Raw genomic sequence first — 20,260 nt, 5'->3', positions numbered from 1 at the left:
CAAAACTGCCATTTGCACTTAGGGTAAATTGGTTCACTTGAGCTTCCACTGCTCCTCTTGCTCTGACATAAATTTATGAACTCAGGAACTAACCAAGTCGTGTGGCTTCCCAGCTGACTTTAACAAATATGCCCATTTCATTTCATTTAGTCATCAGAATACCAGGGGGCTCAGTCATTTCAGACTCATTGCAGATGGTATAGGGTTTGTAGGAACACCAGAGACTTTCGTGTCACAGTCCTGGAAATTATGATAGTGGAGGGGGCCCACTTTCCTAAATGCATGCCAGTGTTTTACGTGTTCACAGCTTAGAGGAGCATTTTCTGTTTCAGCACCTCATAGGTATATGTAAAGGACATTTATTTCCAATTAATGAAGAGGTGAAAAATACATTTTCTATGCTCATGGTTTGGCTAGCCATGTTTAAATCTGGATTAAGATTATGTTTATATTTGACATGCGGTAGAAGCACAGTTTTGTTCCTTCATCCTCTGGGAGTCCTGTCCTTTTTATAACAGAAGTTACTTCTTGAAGGATGCAAGGCCTGGAAGCAGAACAGTAGGTACAGACTGAAGACATAAAGTAAAACAACCTCAGATGAATTGGAGGGAACGCCACTCCAAATTACTGCTAACAATGAATAATACAGTATTTTCGTAGGAATGCAATTTGATCATATCCAAGTACACATAAAAAATAAAACTAGATAACAAAATAGTGTTACAAAGACATTAACTTGAATGAATGTAACATTTATTTGTAGTTGGAATAGCAACTTTATATGAAAGATGGATTCAAAAGTGTTTGAGGGCACATGGAAACAGTGCCATAGTTGTTTTTTGTTCTTTATTTCATTTTGTTCCATTTTGTCTTGTAGAGATGTCAGCCATTTATTAAGTACTTTCTATGTTATGGGAATATATTGAAAGGCTTACAGATATTTTCTAATTTAATCCTCACAACTCTCTATGAGGTAGCTATTAGTATCATCATTTTACACATGAAGAGACAACATCCATAGAGGTTAGTTAATTTGCCAGTGGTCGCTTGGGAAATAAGGGCAGCAGAAGGATTTGATCTATCTGACACCACTCTGTGGTTTGTCTAGTTCAACAAGAATGATGGCATGTTTCTTATGAATGTGTGTCTGTCAAACTTTTCTGCAAGAACTGTCCTAGGAACAAAGAAGACAGGATGAATATGCAATCCCAGGAGGTCTGAAAACAGAGCCTGAAGCAATCATCATTAGCTTGCAGTTTCTTTAAGGTCTTGCTTTTTATCTTAAAAATTCATGTAAATTTGCCATTGTATTCCAGTGTTTGTCTTCATCCAAAAAATAATATATTATACAACTTATCATTTGGGAAAACATTTTCTACTAATCTCATTGGCTAAAGAGTGATAATGCTGTTATATTTCATGATATTAGGAAGATCTAAAGAAAACTAAGCCCAATAACAGGTTCAAGGTCCCGGCAATTCTTCCCCTCTTCATTTTGTCATAAATATGTGGGTTCACCGTGAGGCAGAGGTTGCAGTGAACCAAGATCATGCCACTGCACTCCAGCCTGGTGGCAAAGCAAGACTTCGTCTCAAAAACAAAACAAAACTTGGGAGGCCGAGGCGGGTGGATCATGAGGTCAGGAGATCCAGACCATCCTGGCTAACAAGGTGAAACCCCGTCTCTACTAAAAATACAAAAAATTAGCCGGGCGCGGTGGCGGGCGCCTGTAGTCCCAGCTACTCGGGAGGCTGAGGCAGGAGAATGGCGTGAACCCGGGAGGCGGAGCTTGCAGTGAGCCGAGATTGCGCCACTGCAGTCCGCAGTCCGGCCTGGGCGACAGAGCGAGACTCCGTCTCAAAAAAAAAAACCAAACAAACAAACAAACAAAAAAAAACAAAAAACCTGTGGCTTCAAACAACAGCCTTTTATTCCTCACTGCTTTACTGTTATGGCAGGGTAACAATAGGGAGAAATGCCCAAAATGTGATATGGAATGCTTTGTCATTCTAGGATACTCTGGATGGAAATTTCTATCAGCATATCCTCCTGCTGAAGGTCAAATTGCAAACTGAGAGGGTCCCCGATTCCTTCTTCAATCTCTCTTACCACCTCAAGCAACACCCTCCAAAAAATACTTTTTGCGGAGAGGAAGAAGAAACCTGATTATATTACTTTTTATTTTACCTCTGGCACAGTACTTAAATTTTTCTCATCCATTAATGAACTGAGTCTCAAATGGTCTCTATAATCAATTCTCCTTATCCAGCTCTCAAATTTCATTTTAATTATTGCAGTCTTGTTGAGAGCAGTAAAAACTGCCAGTTTTGTCGTGGAGTGGTGAATTAGGCCTCGAAGAATAGCCTTTAAATAGGCCTATTATGTGTATTCACCATACCAGTAAAGAGAAAAATAAAGTTATTTTTTAGGCATTTAATTTTTGTTATGATATCTTTTCCTGTTTCTTTATGGAGAAAAATAGTATAGAACTCTTTATTACCTGAAACAAAGTGGAAGTGTCATGGGTCAGGCCAACTTTTCATCCCATGTCTAGGGTAGAAAATCCACATTGAGTTCACTTTAAAGCAATAGCGAGAGACTAACATTACATTGTCCTTTGGTTACAGTATGAACAGTTATACTTGTTCAGCACACTGGCACATCAGCATAAACATTTTCTTGTGTCCTACAGTTGGTTCATTCTGTGGTGACTACAGAGTCTTCAACTCTACAATTGGCTAGCAAAAATTCTAATCACTCACCATACATACAATTCTCTAATCTTGAACTTTTAGAAAGAAAAATTCACACCCAATTTTTGTGAACAAAGAAACGGGGATTCTGCTGGTTCCCCTTCCTCAAACAGGGAAATCCTGTGTTTCCCAAATTTTCCATATCAAAGTGATACTCCAAAAAAAGGCACAGTAAGTCCTTAAGGTCATGATAGGTTCTTGGAAACTGCAATTTTGAGTCAAAAGATATATAAGGAAACCAATTTTACCTTAGGCTAGTTGATATAAGCAAGATTTAAGTTGCAAGGAATATTTGTGGTCACAAAAACGTCACCAAACTAAATATCATCAAAGAAAGACCAAAACACTTCTAATATTAAACTGAAATAAATATGAGCTATACATACATTTAAGAAAGATTAATAGAAACAAGTAAGATCATTTTTAACCTAAGTTTTGGCAAGTCAGCGAGTGACAACAGCCATAGGGATAAATGTTTTTGAGCAGAAATTAGAAGAAATTCTTCTTACCACCATGCACTAGTAAAAACAATCGCAAGTAGGGCAAGCTCACAGAAGGCTTTTGTACAGCATTATTTATTATTATGCATCTATATGATAGTAACACACTTAATGAATCTTTACTTTACAATTATTCATTCATTCATTCATTTTCTGACACACCTTTTCCAGTTCAGGGTTGGGGTGGCCAGGGCCTAACCAGGCAGCTCAAGACCATTCCGTTACAGGGCACACACACACACCCACACTCGCTCAGACTAGGACCATTCAGACACACCAATTAATTTAATGGAAACATCTTTAGGATATGGGAAAAATCCAGAGTACCCATAAAGAAACCACGCAGACATGGGGAGAATGTGTAAATTTCACATAGACAGTGGCTCCAGCTGGGAATCAATTTTTTTCCTCATAAATATTAATGAAACAATGTTGAATGAAACAACATTATTCGAGGACCTACGGTACTATGTTTGTTCCTGTCTTTGAATATACTTTGACATGAGCCCACAAACCTCCAAAGCAGGTGTATTTCAGGTTGGGATACTTGGTCTGCAGAACTTTAAATTTCTACCTATAATATGCTTGTTCCATCAGTAATGATTTTTACTTATCCATCATTTGTTTCCTTGCTTCGGAATAGTCTCCAAGAATGGCTCTGCCTTACTGCACAAATTTTCTCAAACCTATCTTGTCATTTTTCCCCAAGTTGTCCTACTCTAAGACTCCATTATCAAGGAAAAGCATAAGTATATTGATATAAGTGTTGATATCAGATGGGCCTAAGTTCAAGTCCTTGCTTCTCCAATTAATCAGTGTGCAATCTGGAACAAGTTATTTAACTTCTCTGAGTTTTAGTTTTCTCATCTTAAAAAATAGTAATATTTACCATGCAGTATTGTCTTGAGGGTTCGTTCATTCATTCAATCAGCTAACATTTATTGAGCTGCTACTTTGTGCTAAAGTCTAGGCAGTGGAACCACATTGGAGAAAACAAAGTCCTAATTTATACGGTTGACATTCTAGTAGTATTAAATGGGATAATGCGTGTTGCCTGGCATAACACAGGGATGCATTGAAATGACTCTTGTTTGTACTACTTCTGCAAACATTGTAAGACTTTCAAACTGGTTTCCCTATGTCTTGTCTCTCATGTTTTTAAGCCACTATTCATTTCCCAACAGTGTTATCATTCTAAAATATAGGTAGACTCTTATTTTCTTATTTATACCTGCAAAGTCTCCTTGTTGCTGATTATATATGAAGCCCAAATTTCTCAAAGAATTAATTGATAAAATTTAGTAGTCACTTGAGTTTTGGAGTGAAGAAGGCAGGATCCACTCTAAAAGTCTTACTCTAAGATTTCCATCCTAGGAAAATGGGAAGATGGTATTATGACTTACTGAAAGAGGAAACCTAGGAAAAAGAACAGGTTTGGGAGTGGAAAATACAGCTAGTTCTGTTTTAGAATTGTTGAGATCGTGGCCTCTGAGGAATATCCATGTAGAAATACCTAGCAGGCTGTTGAAAATACAAAGCTGTAATACCGGAAAGATAGAAAGCTAGAGATAAGAGTTTAGGAATCAATGATAGAATGTTAGTAGTTTAACCTACTAGAATAAATGTACCAGATAGTTTAGCCATGATGCTCTAAATTTAAAATAAACATTCTCAGTCTAAGCTGCCAAATTTAACGCAATCTAGCACCTTTCCTGAGGAAGCAATTGATCAGTACTTCTGAAGATGATCAATATCTCCTTCAGACACCTCTTTTTCATCTATCCTACACAAAATCCTGAGCATCTTTGGTTTGTACCAGCTCTTCCACTCTGTAAATACAGAGGCCACATCTATAAAAAGCAAAACCACATTTCATTCTTTAGACCTCATCTCTCTTAGGTCATTGAGTCCTGTGCTTCCTCAGTAATGTTATCTCTAGATTCCACTGTTTCTAAAGTAAAGATAGACTTATGTGGGTACTACAGAAGTAAATAACTAAACTCATAAATGTTAAAAACTCTCAGATCAAGGAGACAATGTAATAGAAAATGCCATTATATTCTTCATTCAAAACTCATATCCTCTCCTTGAAAAAGTATGCCTGTTGTTCATGACCAAATAAAACTTAACAAGCATTTAATTATATAAATAGACTTTGACGAGGCTAAACTGACAAGACCTACTTTCTTTAGGAAGGAATGGTGAAAAATGACAATTGTTGAACCCAAATTTTCGCTGTATTTAGGGCCATAAGTCTCACTGACAGTGAACTGTCCTGGCCCAATAATTAATGCACTGGGAATTCTCTAGGTAGACCATGATTTGGATATTTCATGGGCTATGTCAAGGATCCATGTCAGACAGGAGGCATACACAATGCTCTACAGAAAAATTATTGTCACAAGCAAAATTGGTGTTGTTTTCTATGAACTTTAAAAGTAAGTAAACCTAGAAAAAATATAGGACAGCATAATTGCCTTATATGTTTTAAGTGAAATGTGCCTTCATTTTTATTTGCCAATAGAGTATATCTTTAAATAGAAATATTATGCTTTTAAAAATAGATTATGTACATTTCTTACTTTTGGAATACACAATCTAATATTTGCCAACTTAACTTTTGTGAAGCTTTTAATTGCTATATTAAAAAGTAATTTACTTTTCTATTACAACTTTTTTTTTTTTTTTGGAGGCGGAGTCTCACTCTGTCGCCCAGGCTGGAGTGCAGTGGCGTGATCTCAGCTCACTGCAACCTCTGCCTCCCGGGTTCAAGCGATTCTCCTGCCTCAGCCTCCCGAGTAGCTGGGATTACAGGCACACACCACTATGCCCGGCTAATTTCTGTATTTTTACAGGGTTTCACCATGTTGGCCAGGATGGTCTCCATCTCCTGACCTTGTGATCAGCCCACCTCAACCTCCCAAAGTGCTGGGATTACAGGCATGAGCCACCACGCCCGGCCTCAATTACAAAATTTTAAATAGACATTATTTTTAAAAGACAAACATTTGTTGCCCATTCTGTTTTATTTATATATATATGTGTGTCTATATATATTTATTTATATATATATGTGTGTCTATATATATATACACACACACACACACACACACACACACACATATATATATATATATGTTTTTAATGTTCTCTCTCTCTCTCTCTCTTTAAAGGGATCCTCATCCCCGAAATTCCTGTGGAGTACAATGTCTTACTCAATGATGGAAGTGTAACACCTCTGGCCTTCTCCGTTGGTCATCATCAATCCACCCTTCTGGAAAATTTGACTCCATTCACACAGTATGAGATAAGGATACAAGCATGTCAAAATGGTGAAAGTCTTTCAGACACTTGGCCTGGGCTTTTATGAAAAAGTATTTCATTAAAAAATTTCATTAAAAAGGAATACATTCTCAGTCCAAATATAAAGACTAACGTTTCACTTCTTATTTGTAGTGGACTGTTTACCCAGAAAAATCACAGTCTGGCATCGAGTAAAGCATTATGCATTTCTGCACATTAAATCATAAATATTTAAATATATTAAAATGGTGGTTTTGCAAAGTCTTGTTTTATAAGGCCCTTTGAAAGAAAAACACCTAGCTCACATAAAGGAGTCTTTGGTAATATAAAACAAAAATGAGTATTCCAAATATTTCATAGAAAACATATTTACCTTGGCCTTATTTAAATTTTATCCAGGAGGAGGAAGTGAGAAGTTATTTAAGAGTTGAATTACACCCAAATGAATCCTATATATTTTATAGTGCTTCCTTGAACCCTATTCATATATACAAACTATCACCTTGTGTTTCATGGCTTAGGCTGTGGTCAGTGAAATTTTCATGTATCTGTGTTGTGTTAAGGAAAAGCCTCCCCCATTTCCTTTATCACTCCAAACGGATAAGTAGCTAAATGTAAACTGTGATTTAGGAGGGGAGAACAGGGAATCAAGAGAGCTATACATCATTTTATTTATCTCTTTTAAATTAAGTATAAACTTTAACAGATATGGATATGTTATATATGTGTATATCATATATAACATGATATATGTGTATATCATATATAACATATGATATATATGATCTCATCATATATGTTATATAACGTATAATACTCATTTGCTAAATAAAGAAAACATGTAACTTACCTTAGTATAAAAAACATTTTGCTTCACCTTAAAGAAATTTATCAGACTCAATGTGTAGTGGAAACTCCTGTATTGAATGTCCTTAGGAATTTCTGTTTCCAAATAGTGCTAGTTCTCATGGAGTTGGTTAGAATTATGAGTCTGCAATTTTGCTCTGCTGAACTCATCAGAAATGGCTAGTCAGTTTGTCCTTTTTTCTCTAAAAAATAGACCATGGCATTTTTGTTTGAGGGGTATTGCTTTCTCTGATCTGTCTTCACCTGATAAACGTGAAAATAATTTTAAATTAATGTTTTCTTGACTCAAGTACAAAGTCAACGTCTGCATCTCCGTGTCCCTGAAACTGTGCAATGGAGGTACAATATCCTTCAAATAGATTGTTTTATTCCTGTGTGTTTGAATAATGTTCATGAGTTTAAAATATTGGCAAAATAAAATATTATTAAAAGCATGCAAGATGTGTAGGTCACACATACACTTGTGAAATTCAAGTGCATTATCACTTTCTGGTTAGAATGACTATAATAAACTAGAGAAACTTGAGTTCAGACAAGTTTCCTTATTATTCCTTATTTCCAGACAATATGCCTTATTGTTTATGTCTATATAAATATGTGACTAATTAATGGGTTTTCCAAAAATAATTTTCTATTTAAATGTTCAAATCCCATAAAAATTTATTTAAAACACATGTACAAGTATATATGCAAAAGGACAGGTTAAAATAATTTTCATGATATCATTACCCTTCTGTATGAATATGTAGTTCTTTTCCTTGCTTGAAAAATAATAAAGACCTCAATTTTTTTTTTTTCAAGGAAGTTGTGGAGTTAGCAGTAGGATGTTTGTCAAAACACCTGAAGCAGCCCCAATGGATCTTAATTCTCCTGTTCTTAAGGCACTGGGGTCAGCTTGCATAGAGATTAAGTGGATGCCACCTGAAAAACCAAATGGAATCATCATCAACTACTTTATTTACAGGTAAGATTGGCTGTTACTATTATTTTTAGTTATTTAAGAATGCGTACTGCTCCAACACAGCAGAATCAAGAGCATTTTATATTTCCATAAGAGAATGAATGGGAATTCATGTTGTGTTTTTTTTTGTTTTGTTTTGTATGTTTGTTTGTTTGTTTGTAGCACCTACCAGTGAGGACTAAGACTGGTGCTCAAACTTTTACAAATTAACCAAGGAAAAAAGCCATAACTGCCATATAACATTTTTGATTGAGATCTGTTTGAAAACTGAGACCTTATAGCCCACATAGGCTTATATTTAGTGATGGGGCAGAACAGTCCTCTAAAGCAGGGGTTCCTAACCCCCAGGCCACAGAGTCCGCGGCCTGTTAGGAACCGGGCCACACAGCAGGTGAGTGGCTGGTGAGCAAGCATTACCACCGGAGCTTCACCTCCTGTCAGATTAGTGGTGGCATTAGATACTCACAGGAGTCCAAACCCTATTGTGAACTGCGCATGTGGGGGATCTAGGTTGTGCCTTCCTTATCAGAATCTAATGCCTGATGATCTGAGGTGGAATAATTTCATCTTGAAACCGTACACCCTAACTGCATTGCCCCAGTGTGTAGAAAAATTGTCTTCCACAAAACCAGTCCCTGGTGCCAAAAAGTTTGGGGACCACTGCTTAAGCAGCTCACTGACCAAGAAAACATAGTCTTTCCAGAGAGGAAACCAGATACAAGACAAGAATTCTAATATTTCTCATTAATTATTATGTAGAGATTAAAAAGTTTTTTCTCCTCCTCCAAAGATGGTGCTTTTCATAAGCAGAAAAAGGGGCTCTCCTCTCCAGTTTTCCTTCTGTTTTAATGAGCCTCCACTCCACTGGTTAGATGGTGTTATAGCAACTTGTTCCATCATGTGCAGAATTTATTAAGTGTACCTACCTAAAATAAAGAAAAGAGACAATAGGGAAGAGAGGAAGAGAAAGATTGAGGAAAAAGAGAGACAAAGAGAGATTGAGAGAGAGAGAGAGAAAATAATGGAAGAGAGAGATACACTATGAACATTTTGGTTTGAAGGATATTTTGCTCTCTGATCTAGTCTTCACCAGATCAACATGAACATTGCTTTAAATTAATGTATTCTTTAAATAAATAATGAATGAGGAGGAGAAGGAGCAGGCAAAGGAAGAGAATGAGGGAGAGATGGAGGGAGGGAGAGAAGAAGAGAAAAAATAGAGAAAGTGAGGGGAGGTGAGTAGAAAGTACAATGCAAAGAGCCAAGGGGGCAAATAACCTGTCAACTGATGGCTTGCTACTTAAGACAGAAAATACAATCATTGGTAGACATACAGGACTTGCAGATTGAAAAACCCAATCCCATTCTGAAAGCAATGTATTTCCTTTAGCGTACAAAGCAGAACACCCTTCTTCTCAGATCCTCATACCCCGCACCTCTTCAACATCCTTTGTTAGTGTCTCTAGCAGCCTCAGGCCTTCCCTTATTTGGTCCTATGCCCTGGAAACTTAGTGAAACTTACTTAGGCTCCTCTTATAACTTTAGATATTGAAATCCTTTGATTCACATCAGTCTTCAGTGATGAGCTAAGGGCTTATAGAAAAAAATTACGAAAGGAGAAAGTATTATTGCATTTCTGGTTATGTAAATGACATTACCAAAAATGAACAAGCCAAATTTCTTCTCAGCAAACATTAATTTGAAGAATAATATTTCTGATTCAAAAACACATGAACACGTAAAAATGGTTAATGTGAATTTCCATTTTACGCTAAGCACATTAGTGCAGGCTCTAAAATGTCCACCCTCTTGAAATAGTTTTCTTTCATCCACTTAATGCTAATTGCATGAGAAAAGCACATCAAATTCCTATTCAGAATAAAGGGAAATAGAGTATCTGTTATAGACCAGGACGTGGCTTCACTCTGTTGGTTTTGTAAATAAAGCTCGTGATTACAGTGCCTATTCCATGGCAGCTATAGAGAGGGAAAACAGGAAATATAATGCAGAAAGCCCGCTTCAATGAAAAATACTGTAAATTGAATTTGACAGCATTTGATGGCATCTGATTATTCTAATCACAGCCAAACAATGATATAAAGAGTAATATGAAACAGAATGTGTTACTGCCTAGCAGACTCAAAAGCAATAAACCTTCCTCCAATGTGACACAATCACTTCACAATCATAATTGTAGCCTGTTTGATACCTCTGAGTACAGCAGAAGGGCACTGACTGACATAGATACATTTTGTTTTTTATTTAAAGTGAAATGAAAATGGCGCACTGGGGCTCCAGATACAATCGTTATATTCACCTACATAGGCATGAATCACTTGGCAGTTATTTCAACTGAAGTTTAAATGTGCTTAGACAACAACAATATCAAATTTTTCTTAGATAGCTGCAAAAAATAATCAGAAATTTGTAAGGACAGAAATAGAATGGAGACACATAGTTCTTTTTCATTCTGAGACTACATAGAGCCCTTTATATAGTTATAGCCACCAGCCTGCAGTATTTCTGAGGAGGTTATGGCATGTAATTTCAGCTTCATCATTGGCCTTCTCTTTCTTCTATCGGCACCAAAGGAAGTACATTTAGCTCAAACCAAAGATAGGATTTGGCCTATGCAGATATTTTTATTAACTTGCAGGAAGCCCACTTGTAAATCTCATTTGAAATTGTTTGCCACTCTCTTCTCACCAAGACCCTGAATCATTTTCTTTTCTGTAACTGTCCTTTATTTTTTAAATATTTCCTCTAGATATTATCCTATTAAAAAATATCTGACCTAATAAAGACAGAAGATGTTTATGACTTCAAAAACAAAGCAAAATAACCTAAATATTATCCTATTAAAAAGCGTCTGCCCTATTAAAGATAGAAGAATGTTTATAATTTCAAAAACGAAACAAAATAACCTAGTAAGAACAAACTATTAATATGATTCCCTCTGCTTAGTTTATCTGTTTAAGCTATTTTGTTGACTATATATAAGTCACAAAAAAAGATTTGCTACAAAAAGTTTTGTAAAGAATAGAGACCAACATTTAAGTTAGTGTTTTGCAACCTGTTTATTGACTGAGTATAGACAAGACTGTCTTGGACATCTGCTTCCTCCTCTCAATGAGTTTGGCTGGTATGATAATGATTCTTCAGTATTCCCCCTTTATTTTATATCTGCAACCTTGCAAATGGCAAAAATCTCATCACTTACGTCTACAAAATCCATCAAACACATTAAATTGAGACTTTACAAAACATGTAATAAAATAATCTCCTCCCACTAGGTGCTTTAATTTTAATAGAAACCAAATTTCATGGGGTTTATTATTCTCATGAGCTTTCTCTTTAAATAAATAAAAAGATTTGATCAATGTGCACTGAGAGGCAAAACTATATACAAACACCCTGTAAATGCTGTAAAAATAGAAACAAATGATGGCACTTCCTTCTGAGTATTTAGTAAGATTTAAAGGATAAAATCTGAAATAATTTTGAAGACTGTATGATATGAAAGGGTTTTCAAAGCAGATAAGTGAAAACATTTTATAAAATGGATAATTAAGCTGATTGAATTAACTAAGAAAAGACGAGCATTGAATCAAAGGCAAAGGAATTTTGATGTAATTCAATTTGTATTGGGTGGAAAGATGGATATAGATATGAATATTTATATAGATAGATACAGACAGAAGACAGACAGACAGACATCTACCTATCCATACATGTACATATCTACTGAGAGAGACACAAAGATCTATGAGACCTAAGCCCTTTTACCAATGATCTTCACTACAGTGGGAGATATAAGACAGGCTAAATAAACAAAGAAAAGAGTAAAATATATAGTGGAAAAACAGAAATATTTACCAGAAAATTTAGAGAATAATTCTGTGTCTAGAATATTCATGGAACACTTCATCAAGTTGATGTCATTGAGACTAGGACTTATAAAATAAAGATTTAATGACTATTTAAATTGTAAGAGAAATACATTTGTTAGAAAAAATGTTTTAACAGTACAGAAGATTACTAAGGTTATTATTCATTCTTATGATTTACTCATGGCATATGTAATTTTCACTAATAGAAGTAACACTATTAATTTTAATATATTAACATTAATGTTTTCTATTTGTATTTTCTTCTTCATGAAAGAATTATATTGCCCATATTGTTCTGCAATTTTCTTTGGGCATTTTATATATATGCCCACACACATATACACACCTAATTTCTTTTAATGACTCATCAATATTCTGTTATATGGATGTGTATCATATATTATTTAGCCAGTACCCTGATGATGGCAAGATAGGTGATTTTCAAGTTTTCGTTACCACAGCAATTCTCTAATAAATATTCTTACGGTAAGTATACAGAGAATTATTCTTAGTACTAGAAGTACTGGGTCAATTAAAATTGTTGAGGATTTGTCTTTACTAGACCATATGCATTTAAAATTGTTGAGGATTCCTAAGTTGTCTTCCAAATATCATATGTAAGAATTTCTAATTCTGAAATCTTTTAATACAGGGTCAGTCTTCCAAATCTGTCAGCTCAATATTTTCATTTGCACATTTTTGTTGTTTTAATTCAAGTTTTGATGATTATAAGTAAGATTGTTCATTTACTTAAAATATTTATCTTCTATTTGGGAGGGGTATGTATAATATATTATAAATTCTTAGACTAATTTTTTCTACTGGATTATTTCTTATTGTCTATATTCTTTCCACATTAAAGAAAATCTCCCTTTCATGATCATATTAAAAATAACACATTAATTATTTCTTCCAGCACTTTTATGGCTCTACTCCTTATTTCTAAATATGGAATTAATATTGTTATTGGAAATTAGATAAGAATTCATTTTCTTAAAAAATGCTAACTAGTTTATCAACATTATTTCATAATCCACTGATTTGAAATGTCACTCATACAAAATTCCTATGTGCATCGGGTTCATTTTAGGACTTTGTATTCTGTTTCACTTGTGGTAAATAGGGATTTTAACAAGTACAGCCTGATGGTGAAGACATGATAAGTGAATAAAATCAATAGAATAAGCAAAATTTCCAACACATAAGCATAGGATTCAAGGAATGGTCAGGTTTATCTGGAGTCATTGCTATTAGTAGGGGACATTTAGAAGATCAGCTTAATGATAGATTTTAGATCTAAGGAGTTTAGGCTTTATATTCAGAGGCAATGTGAGCTGCTGAAGGTTTAGGGGGTAAATAGAGAAGCAATGTAATAAAGTGGAAAGAGTGTGGCATTTGTAGTCAGAAGATATGGCTTCCAGGGCCTGGCTCTAACACTTACTAGTTATATGACCTTAGGCAAGTCACTGTGTTCCCTAATTTTCCATTTTTACATGAAGTGAAGATAGTAAATATAAAAGATAATTAGCCTCTTGGAATTCTGTAAGAATTAAATAATATGTGTGGAATTACTGTTAAATGTGAAGCATGATAAAAATAGAAAGTTATCCTAGATATGTTGTCCAAAGCCATGTTTTAGAAAGACAAATCCATCTGGCAGTTATAGATGTACATTTAAAGTCAATGAAAGAGGTTCATGGTTATAAAAGTAGCAGCTTGCATAACAGTATGCCTGGTAGGATTCTGTTTTCCTTTAAATATATAGTATATTTTTTACATATATATGTATATAAAAAAATGTCTGGAATGTTAAACACCAAAATAGTGCTAGCAGTGCTTATCTCCAAATATTAGGCTATCAGTGATTCTTTTAAATACTTCTGCTTTTGTTCATCTGTGTTTTCTTATTAATTTTTATAGTCAATACATCATATGGTCTAGTAAAGACAAAATAATAAATTTGTGAGCCCAGATGCAAATCTATCATCACTGTCTCCGATTTTCCTATTTCCTTCTTTGTGTGAATATCACCATCACTTTCTGTAATAATCAAAGTCTGATCAAGAAAGAGGAACCACACTACTTACTTTAACAGAAGGAATTTAATATAAATAATTAGTAAGTAGTTATAAATTTGTTAACTAGGTAACTAAAAGCATAAAAAGAGAACTCTAAGATATCATGGAGGTGGCAACTACAGGAAACAGCTAGCACCTTTAGAACTGAGGGAACAAAGGGGAGTTGTTAGAATTATTAAAATGTAAATGCATAGAGGAGGGTGCCTGTGAAGCTGGGACTCAGACAGTTGAAGAGGGGTACCTGCCACTGGTGCAGTTGTATGGAGGAGGAAACATGAAATTAAGTTGGTTTTCCAAATGTCGGAAAAATTGCATGCTGCAATCACTTGCTCCCAAGGTATTTCTTTATTGCAACACAAGAACAGCCTAATACAGAAAACTGGCACCAGGAGTAGCGTGTTGCTATGAAGATACCTGAAAATGTGGAAGTGACTTTGGAAATGGGTAACGGGCAGAGGTTGAAAGAGTTGGGAGGGCTCAGAAGAAGACAGGAAGGTGAGGGAAAATTTGGAACTTCTTAGAGACTGGTTAAATGGTTCTCACCAAAATGCTGATAGAAATATGGACAGTGAAGACCAGACTAATGAAGTTGGAGATGCAAATAATTGAGAACTAGAGTAAAGGTCACCCTTGTTATGCCCTAGCAAAGAACTAGGTTCCATTACATCCATGCCCCAGGGATTTGTGAAAGTGAGAACTTAAGAGTAAAAACCTAGGGTACTGGTGGAAGAAATTTCAAAGCAACAAAGCAGCATTCAAGACTTTGCCTGGCTGTTTCTAACAGCCTACAATCAGATATGGGAGCAAAGGAATGACTCAAAGTTGGAACTTTTATGTAAAAGGGAAGCAGAGAGCAAAAGTTCAGAAAATTTGCAGCCTGGCCCTGTGGTAGAGAGAGAATTCAAGCAGACTGTGGAGTGACCACTTTCAAGAGAGACTAGCATCACTGTAAGGTAGCCAAGTGTTAATATCCAAGATAATAGGGAAAAGGCCTAGAAGGCATTTCAGAGATCTTACAGGCAGCCCCTCTCAACACAAGCCCAGAGGCCTAGGAGGAAAGAATGGTTTTGAGGGCCAGGCCCAGAGCCCTGCTGCCCTGTGCAGGCTTGCGAACTGTTCCCCACATCCTGACTACTCTTGCTGCAGCTGCAGCTCGAAGGGCCTCAGATACATCACAGGTAGGTGCTTCAGGGGGCGTACACCAAACCCTTGGTAGCTACCATGTAGTGTTAAGTTGGCAGATGCACAGAATGCAAGCATGAAGGAGGCTTGGCAGCTTCCCCCTAGATTTCAGAGAATGTATGAGAAAGCCTGGGTGCCCAGGCAGAAGGCTGCCACAGGGGTGAAGCCCTTACAGAGAAACTCTACTAGGGCAGTGCAGAAGGCAAGTGTGGTGTTGGAGCCACCATACAGAGTCTCCATCAGGGCGCTGTCTGTTGGAGCTGTGGGAAGGGGGCCACTTCTCTCTAGGTCCCAGAAACCATGGACAGCTTGTATCCTGAAAAAAGCCATAGGGATTCAACTCCAATATATGAGAGCAGCCACAGGGTCTGCACTCTGCAAAACCACAGGGTTGAAGCTACCCAAAGCCTTAGGAGTCAGTGCTTGCAGCAGTGTGCCCTGGAGTGGGACATGGAGTTAATGGAGACTATTTTGGAGCTTTAAGGTTTAATGTCTGTCCTACCAGGTCTCAGACTTGTGTGGGCCCTATAGGCCCTTTCTGTTAGCCAATTTCTCCCTTTTGCAATGAGAATGTTTACCCAATACCTATATCCACATTGTATCTTGGAAGTAAATAACTTGTTTTGATTTTATAGGCTTATAGGTGAAAGGAGATGAGTCTCCAGATGAGATTTTAGACTTGGTACTTGAGACTTGGGGCTTTTGAGTTAATGCTGTAATCAGTTAAAACTTCGGGGAACTATTGGGAGGACATGATTTCATTTTGAAATGTGAGAAAGAGATGAGATTTGGGAGGCCAGTGGTGGAATAATATAGTTTGTATGTTTGTCCTCTCTAAATCTCATGCTAAAAACAGATTCCCAATGTTGCAGATGGGGCCTAGTGGGAGGTGATTGCATAATGGGGTCAGATCCCTTATGAATGGTGTAGCACCATGCCCTTAGTGATAAGTGTGTTCTTGCTCAGTTTGTTCATGATGGGAGATCTGGTTGTTTAAATGTCTAGGACTCCACCCGCCCCCCGCCCCCCCGCCACCTCTCTCTCTTGCTCCTGCTCTCTGCACGTGATGCACTTGCTCTTTCTTCACCTTCCATCATAGTTGTAAGCTTCCTGAGTCTCTCATAAGCAGATGCCAGCATCATGCTTTCTGTACGCCCTGCAGGACTGTGAGCCAGTTAAATCCCTATTCTGTATAAATTAGCTTACCTCAAGTATTTTTGTAGCAATGCAAAAGGAGCCTAATACAAATTAGAAAAAAGAGGTAGCACATAGAAGGATATGATAACTCTTATTTGAGAGAAAAGCAAGGAAAAGACTTTCTGGAAAAAGTGATATGGGGCTAGAATTTTAAAAGACGAGTTGTAGTTAGTCTATAGAAAAAAGGAGAGGCCAGGTGTGGTGGCTCACACCTGTAATCCCAGCACTTTGGGAGGCTGAAGAGGGCAGATCACAAGGTCAGGAGATCGAGACCATCCTGGCTAACACAGTGAAACCCCGTCTCTATTAAAAATACAAAAAATTAGCCAGGCATGGTGGCAGGCACCTGTAGTCCCAGCCACTCGGGAGGCTGAGGCAGGAGAATGGCGTGAACCTGGGAGGCGGAGCTTGCAGTGAGCCGAGATTGCCCCACTGCACTCCAGCCTGGGCAACAGAGCAAAAAAAAAAAAAAAAAAAAAAAAAAAAGAAAGAAAAAAGGAGAATAAGAAAGAGGATTGGGAGGGATATTGCCAGAGAATTAGCAGATACCAAAGCCATGGAACCGTGAAATATAATGGAATATAAGAAACTATAGTCAAGCATTTGATGATAACTAGAATATAAAATGGGACTAGAAATTTCAGAAAGGTGAGTCCTTTTGAGAATCAGCAGATTAAGGATAAGCATAGGCCATTTTACATGGTAAATCTCTAAAGAATTTTTAAAAGGACTGTCTTAAAATTTTTGAAAGGTTTGTGATGTCTCTTCCCTCAACAGCCAAGTCTCTACTCACACCAAAAACTTGACGATTCAACCTTCACAAATCATTTTGTAAATCACCTGTGTTTCCATTTGTCCTCTCAGCAATCTAGTTCAGGGTCTGCATTTATTCTTACGTAAACTGTTGAGATGACCTCCTTGTTCAATGCCAGATGCACATCATCTCCATGATAACTTCATTCAGATCATGCATTACATTTTACCCAATGATTTTTATGTTTTAATTTTTATAAGAATTTTCAGAGGTTTGTTATACTCTATGAGGTTATTAACTCCACTTTACAAAATGAAATAGAAACTAGAGGACACAGACAGGCAAGTTCACCCAAGGTCATTGAACTAAGTGGCAGAGCCAGGACCTCCAACCTATCTCCTCTGACTACAGATGTTTCTGATTATCTATTTAAACTCAGAATATTTGTAATATTCTTCATGGAATGGGGTTGGCAGTTTCATAACCTCAAAATTGTTATGGTGCATTGGGTTCTAGGATTTTGTTTTAATTGCTTTTGAAAATAAGCAGTGACAATTGCTGGAGGGGAGAGAAGGAGTAAGGAGCTCCTAAAAGCATTGTACATTGAGACCACAGAAGTGTGACTGCCTTTAAAAATATATGGTTCCTAGTTTTTATACTTATTTTTGTTTTCCTCTTAGTGTTAGGCAACATTAAATTAACTCTAGTTGGAAAATTACATTCCTGAAGTATCTCCCAAATGAGCCTGAGCAAAGAATAACCATTTGGCTATTCAGAGAGAACTGAAAATGTGATTTCTCTAAACACAGGCTACTCAGGAGGAAACACTTCCAGTTAAATGAACAGGTGATGCTTAAATCTTAAATAATTAGGAATAATTGTGGTCTACTCAACCACTTCTGCTCTAAATGTATTCAGACATAAAGAGAGACTCTGTTTTTTAGCAGTGCAGATGGGACATGTACTTCTCCACGATATTAATTTTTCAAGGATTCAATAGCGATAAGAAATACTTAACCAGGCTGCACCTTTTAATTCTTTTGGTGAATAAACTTGAGGCCAACATAATACTCAATCTTTTAAATAGTATATGTATTTAAAACCCCACTTTTAGGCAAATTTTGTTAAGAATGTCGGCTTTATAGAAACCATGACTACATCTCAATTTGGGAATTCGTGAGAGTTTAATAAAAATTAATTGAATTGTCATGGAAAGGCTGAAGCTAGACAAAATAGAAAATGTTACTTCCCCATAGACCATCATAGGTTTGTTTGCTGTATTGTGTTCCTAGCAAACAACTTTTTAAAAATCACTGAGAAGAGTCCTTGGCTATGAGCCCTGCAGTTCTCATTAGAATGGATCTCTCCCAATGACACACCTGGTACCTGATATCTGTAGCAAGTACAAAGGCCAAACCCTGCAAACCTTCACTGAGTGCAGAATCTGGTTCACGCATGGTAGTGAGCAATAATGAGGTGGGCTGCCGAACCATAATTGCAGGTGACTGAGAGGTGTCTATGAAGCCTCTATAGCTTCCAGCATGAAGCTTGTCATTGCTCATACTTAGGTCATCGTGATTTATCAACTTAAGGATCATCAGATTCCCAAAGCCAAAGATTTTACATATTCTGCCTTTTTGTGAAAGGTAACTGTCATTCACTTTGTCTTAATAACCCTTTACATTTTGATGGAGCTGGTTAATCTGATATGGCAGCATGTGAATTTTTCAGCATCTGAAGAGTGTGTTAATTAAATACTTCTAACAGCCTGGAAAATATTACTGTATTCATCACTCTCTTCTCAACTAGAGAGAGAGCTGAAAGAGGAGGGTCAATGTCTTGGTTACATTCTCTCCCAACCTGGAATACTGCCCTGATAGGAAATAAGAGCTGATGGAGAAGAGGCAAAGATGCAGGGAAGTAATGGGATTCCATAACTTTTAGCCTTTCACTTGAAAAACATGATTGAACACTTACTGGGCTCAGATGCTGGGAATATAGAGATATGCCAACCACAGTTCCTCCAGAACTTTGCTTTCCATCAAACCTGCATCATGTTTTTACATCTGGATGAGAAAAGAACTGTTCCAAATGAAGTATCAGATATATAGGGCCGTCTCAACAACTCACCATTCCATTTCTCTTACTTCTATATTTAATGCTATATATATTTAGTACCAAAAGAGTATGCATTTGGCCCTAGTTTCCCTATCAACAAAATCTAAAGATGAGCCTAAACAATTCCATCCTCAGACAGTTGAAAGAATTTTGGGGTCATACTCTGCATTTTACCAGGTTTTGGGGAAGACATCTAAAAGGAATTTGACTTTTGTCCTTTAAAAATCTCTAAAGCAAGCCAGACATGGTGGCTCATGCCTGTAATCCCAGCACTTTGGAAGGCCAAGGCCAGAGGCTTGCTTGGGGAAGACCAGCCTGGGCAACATGGCAAGACCTCATCTCTACAAAAAAATTTTAAAAGTTAGCCAGGCCTAGTAGCACACATCTGTAGTCCTAGCTACTCAGGAGACTGAGGCAGGAGGATTTCTTGAGTCCAGGAGTTTGAGGCTGCAGTTAGCCATGATTGCATCAATGCACTCCAGCCTGAGTGACAGAGTGAGACCCAGTCTCAAAATAAATAAATAAAACAAAAAAACTCTAAAACAAATTCCTATTATATTACTTATCATGTTATTTTCATTAATCTGCACATAGCTCCATCTTCTCTACTCAGCTACCTATTCCTTTAGGTAAGGGGTGTGTTCATCTTTTTACCCT

General features: G+C 36.8%; 1 protein-coding gene across 1 annotated transcript in view; it reads left to right on the top strand.

Moving 5' to 3' along the window:
- The window catches only part of USH2A (usherin), an 800,558-nt gene that overhangs the window by 673,687 nt on the left and 106,611 nt on the right, over window positions 1-20,260 (top strand). The window contains exons 59-60 of the mRNA NM_206933.4: window positions 6,427-6,585; window positions 8,225-8,387. Coding sequence (NP_996816.3) covers window positions 6,427-6,585; window positions 8,225-8,387 — 322 coding nt within the window. The remainder of the gene's footprint in view (window positions 1-6,426; window positions 6,586-8,224; window positions 8,388-20,260) is intronic.

This window comes from Homo sapiens, chromosome 1, assembly GCF_000001405.40.
Source record: "Homo sapiens chromosome 1, GRCh38.p14 Primary Assembly".
Lineage (NCBI taxonomy): Eukaryota > Metazoa > Chordata > Mammalia > Primates > Hominidae > Homo > Homo sapiens.
This window is presented reverse-complemented; position numbering and strand designations above follow the sequence as displayed.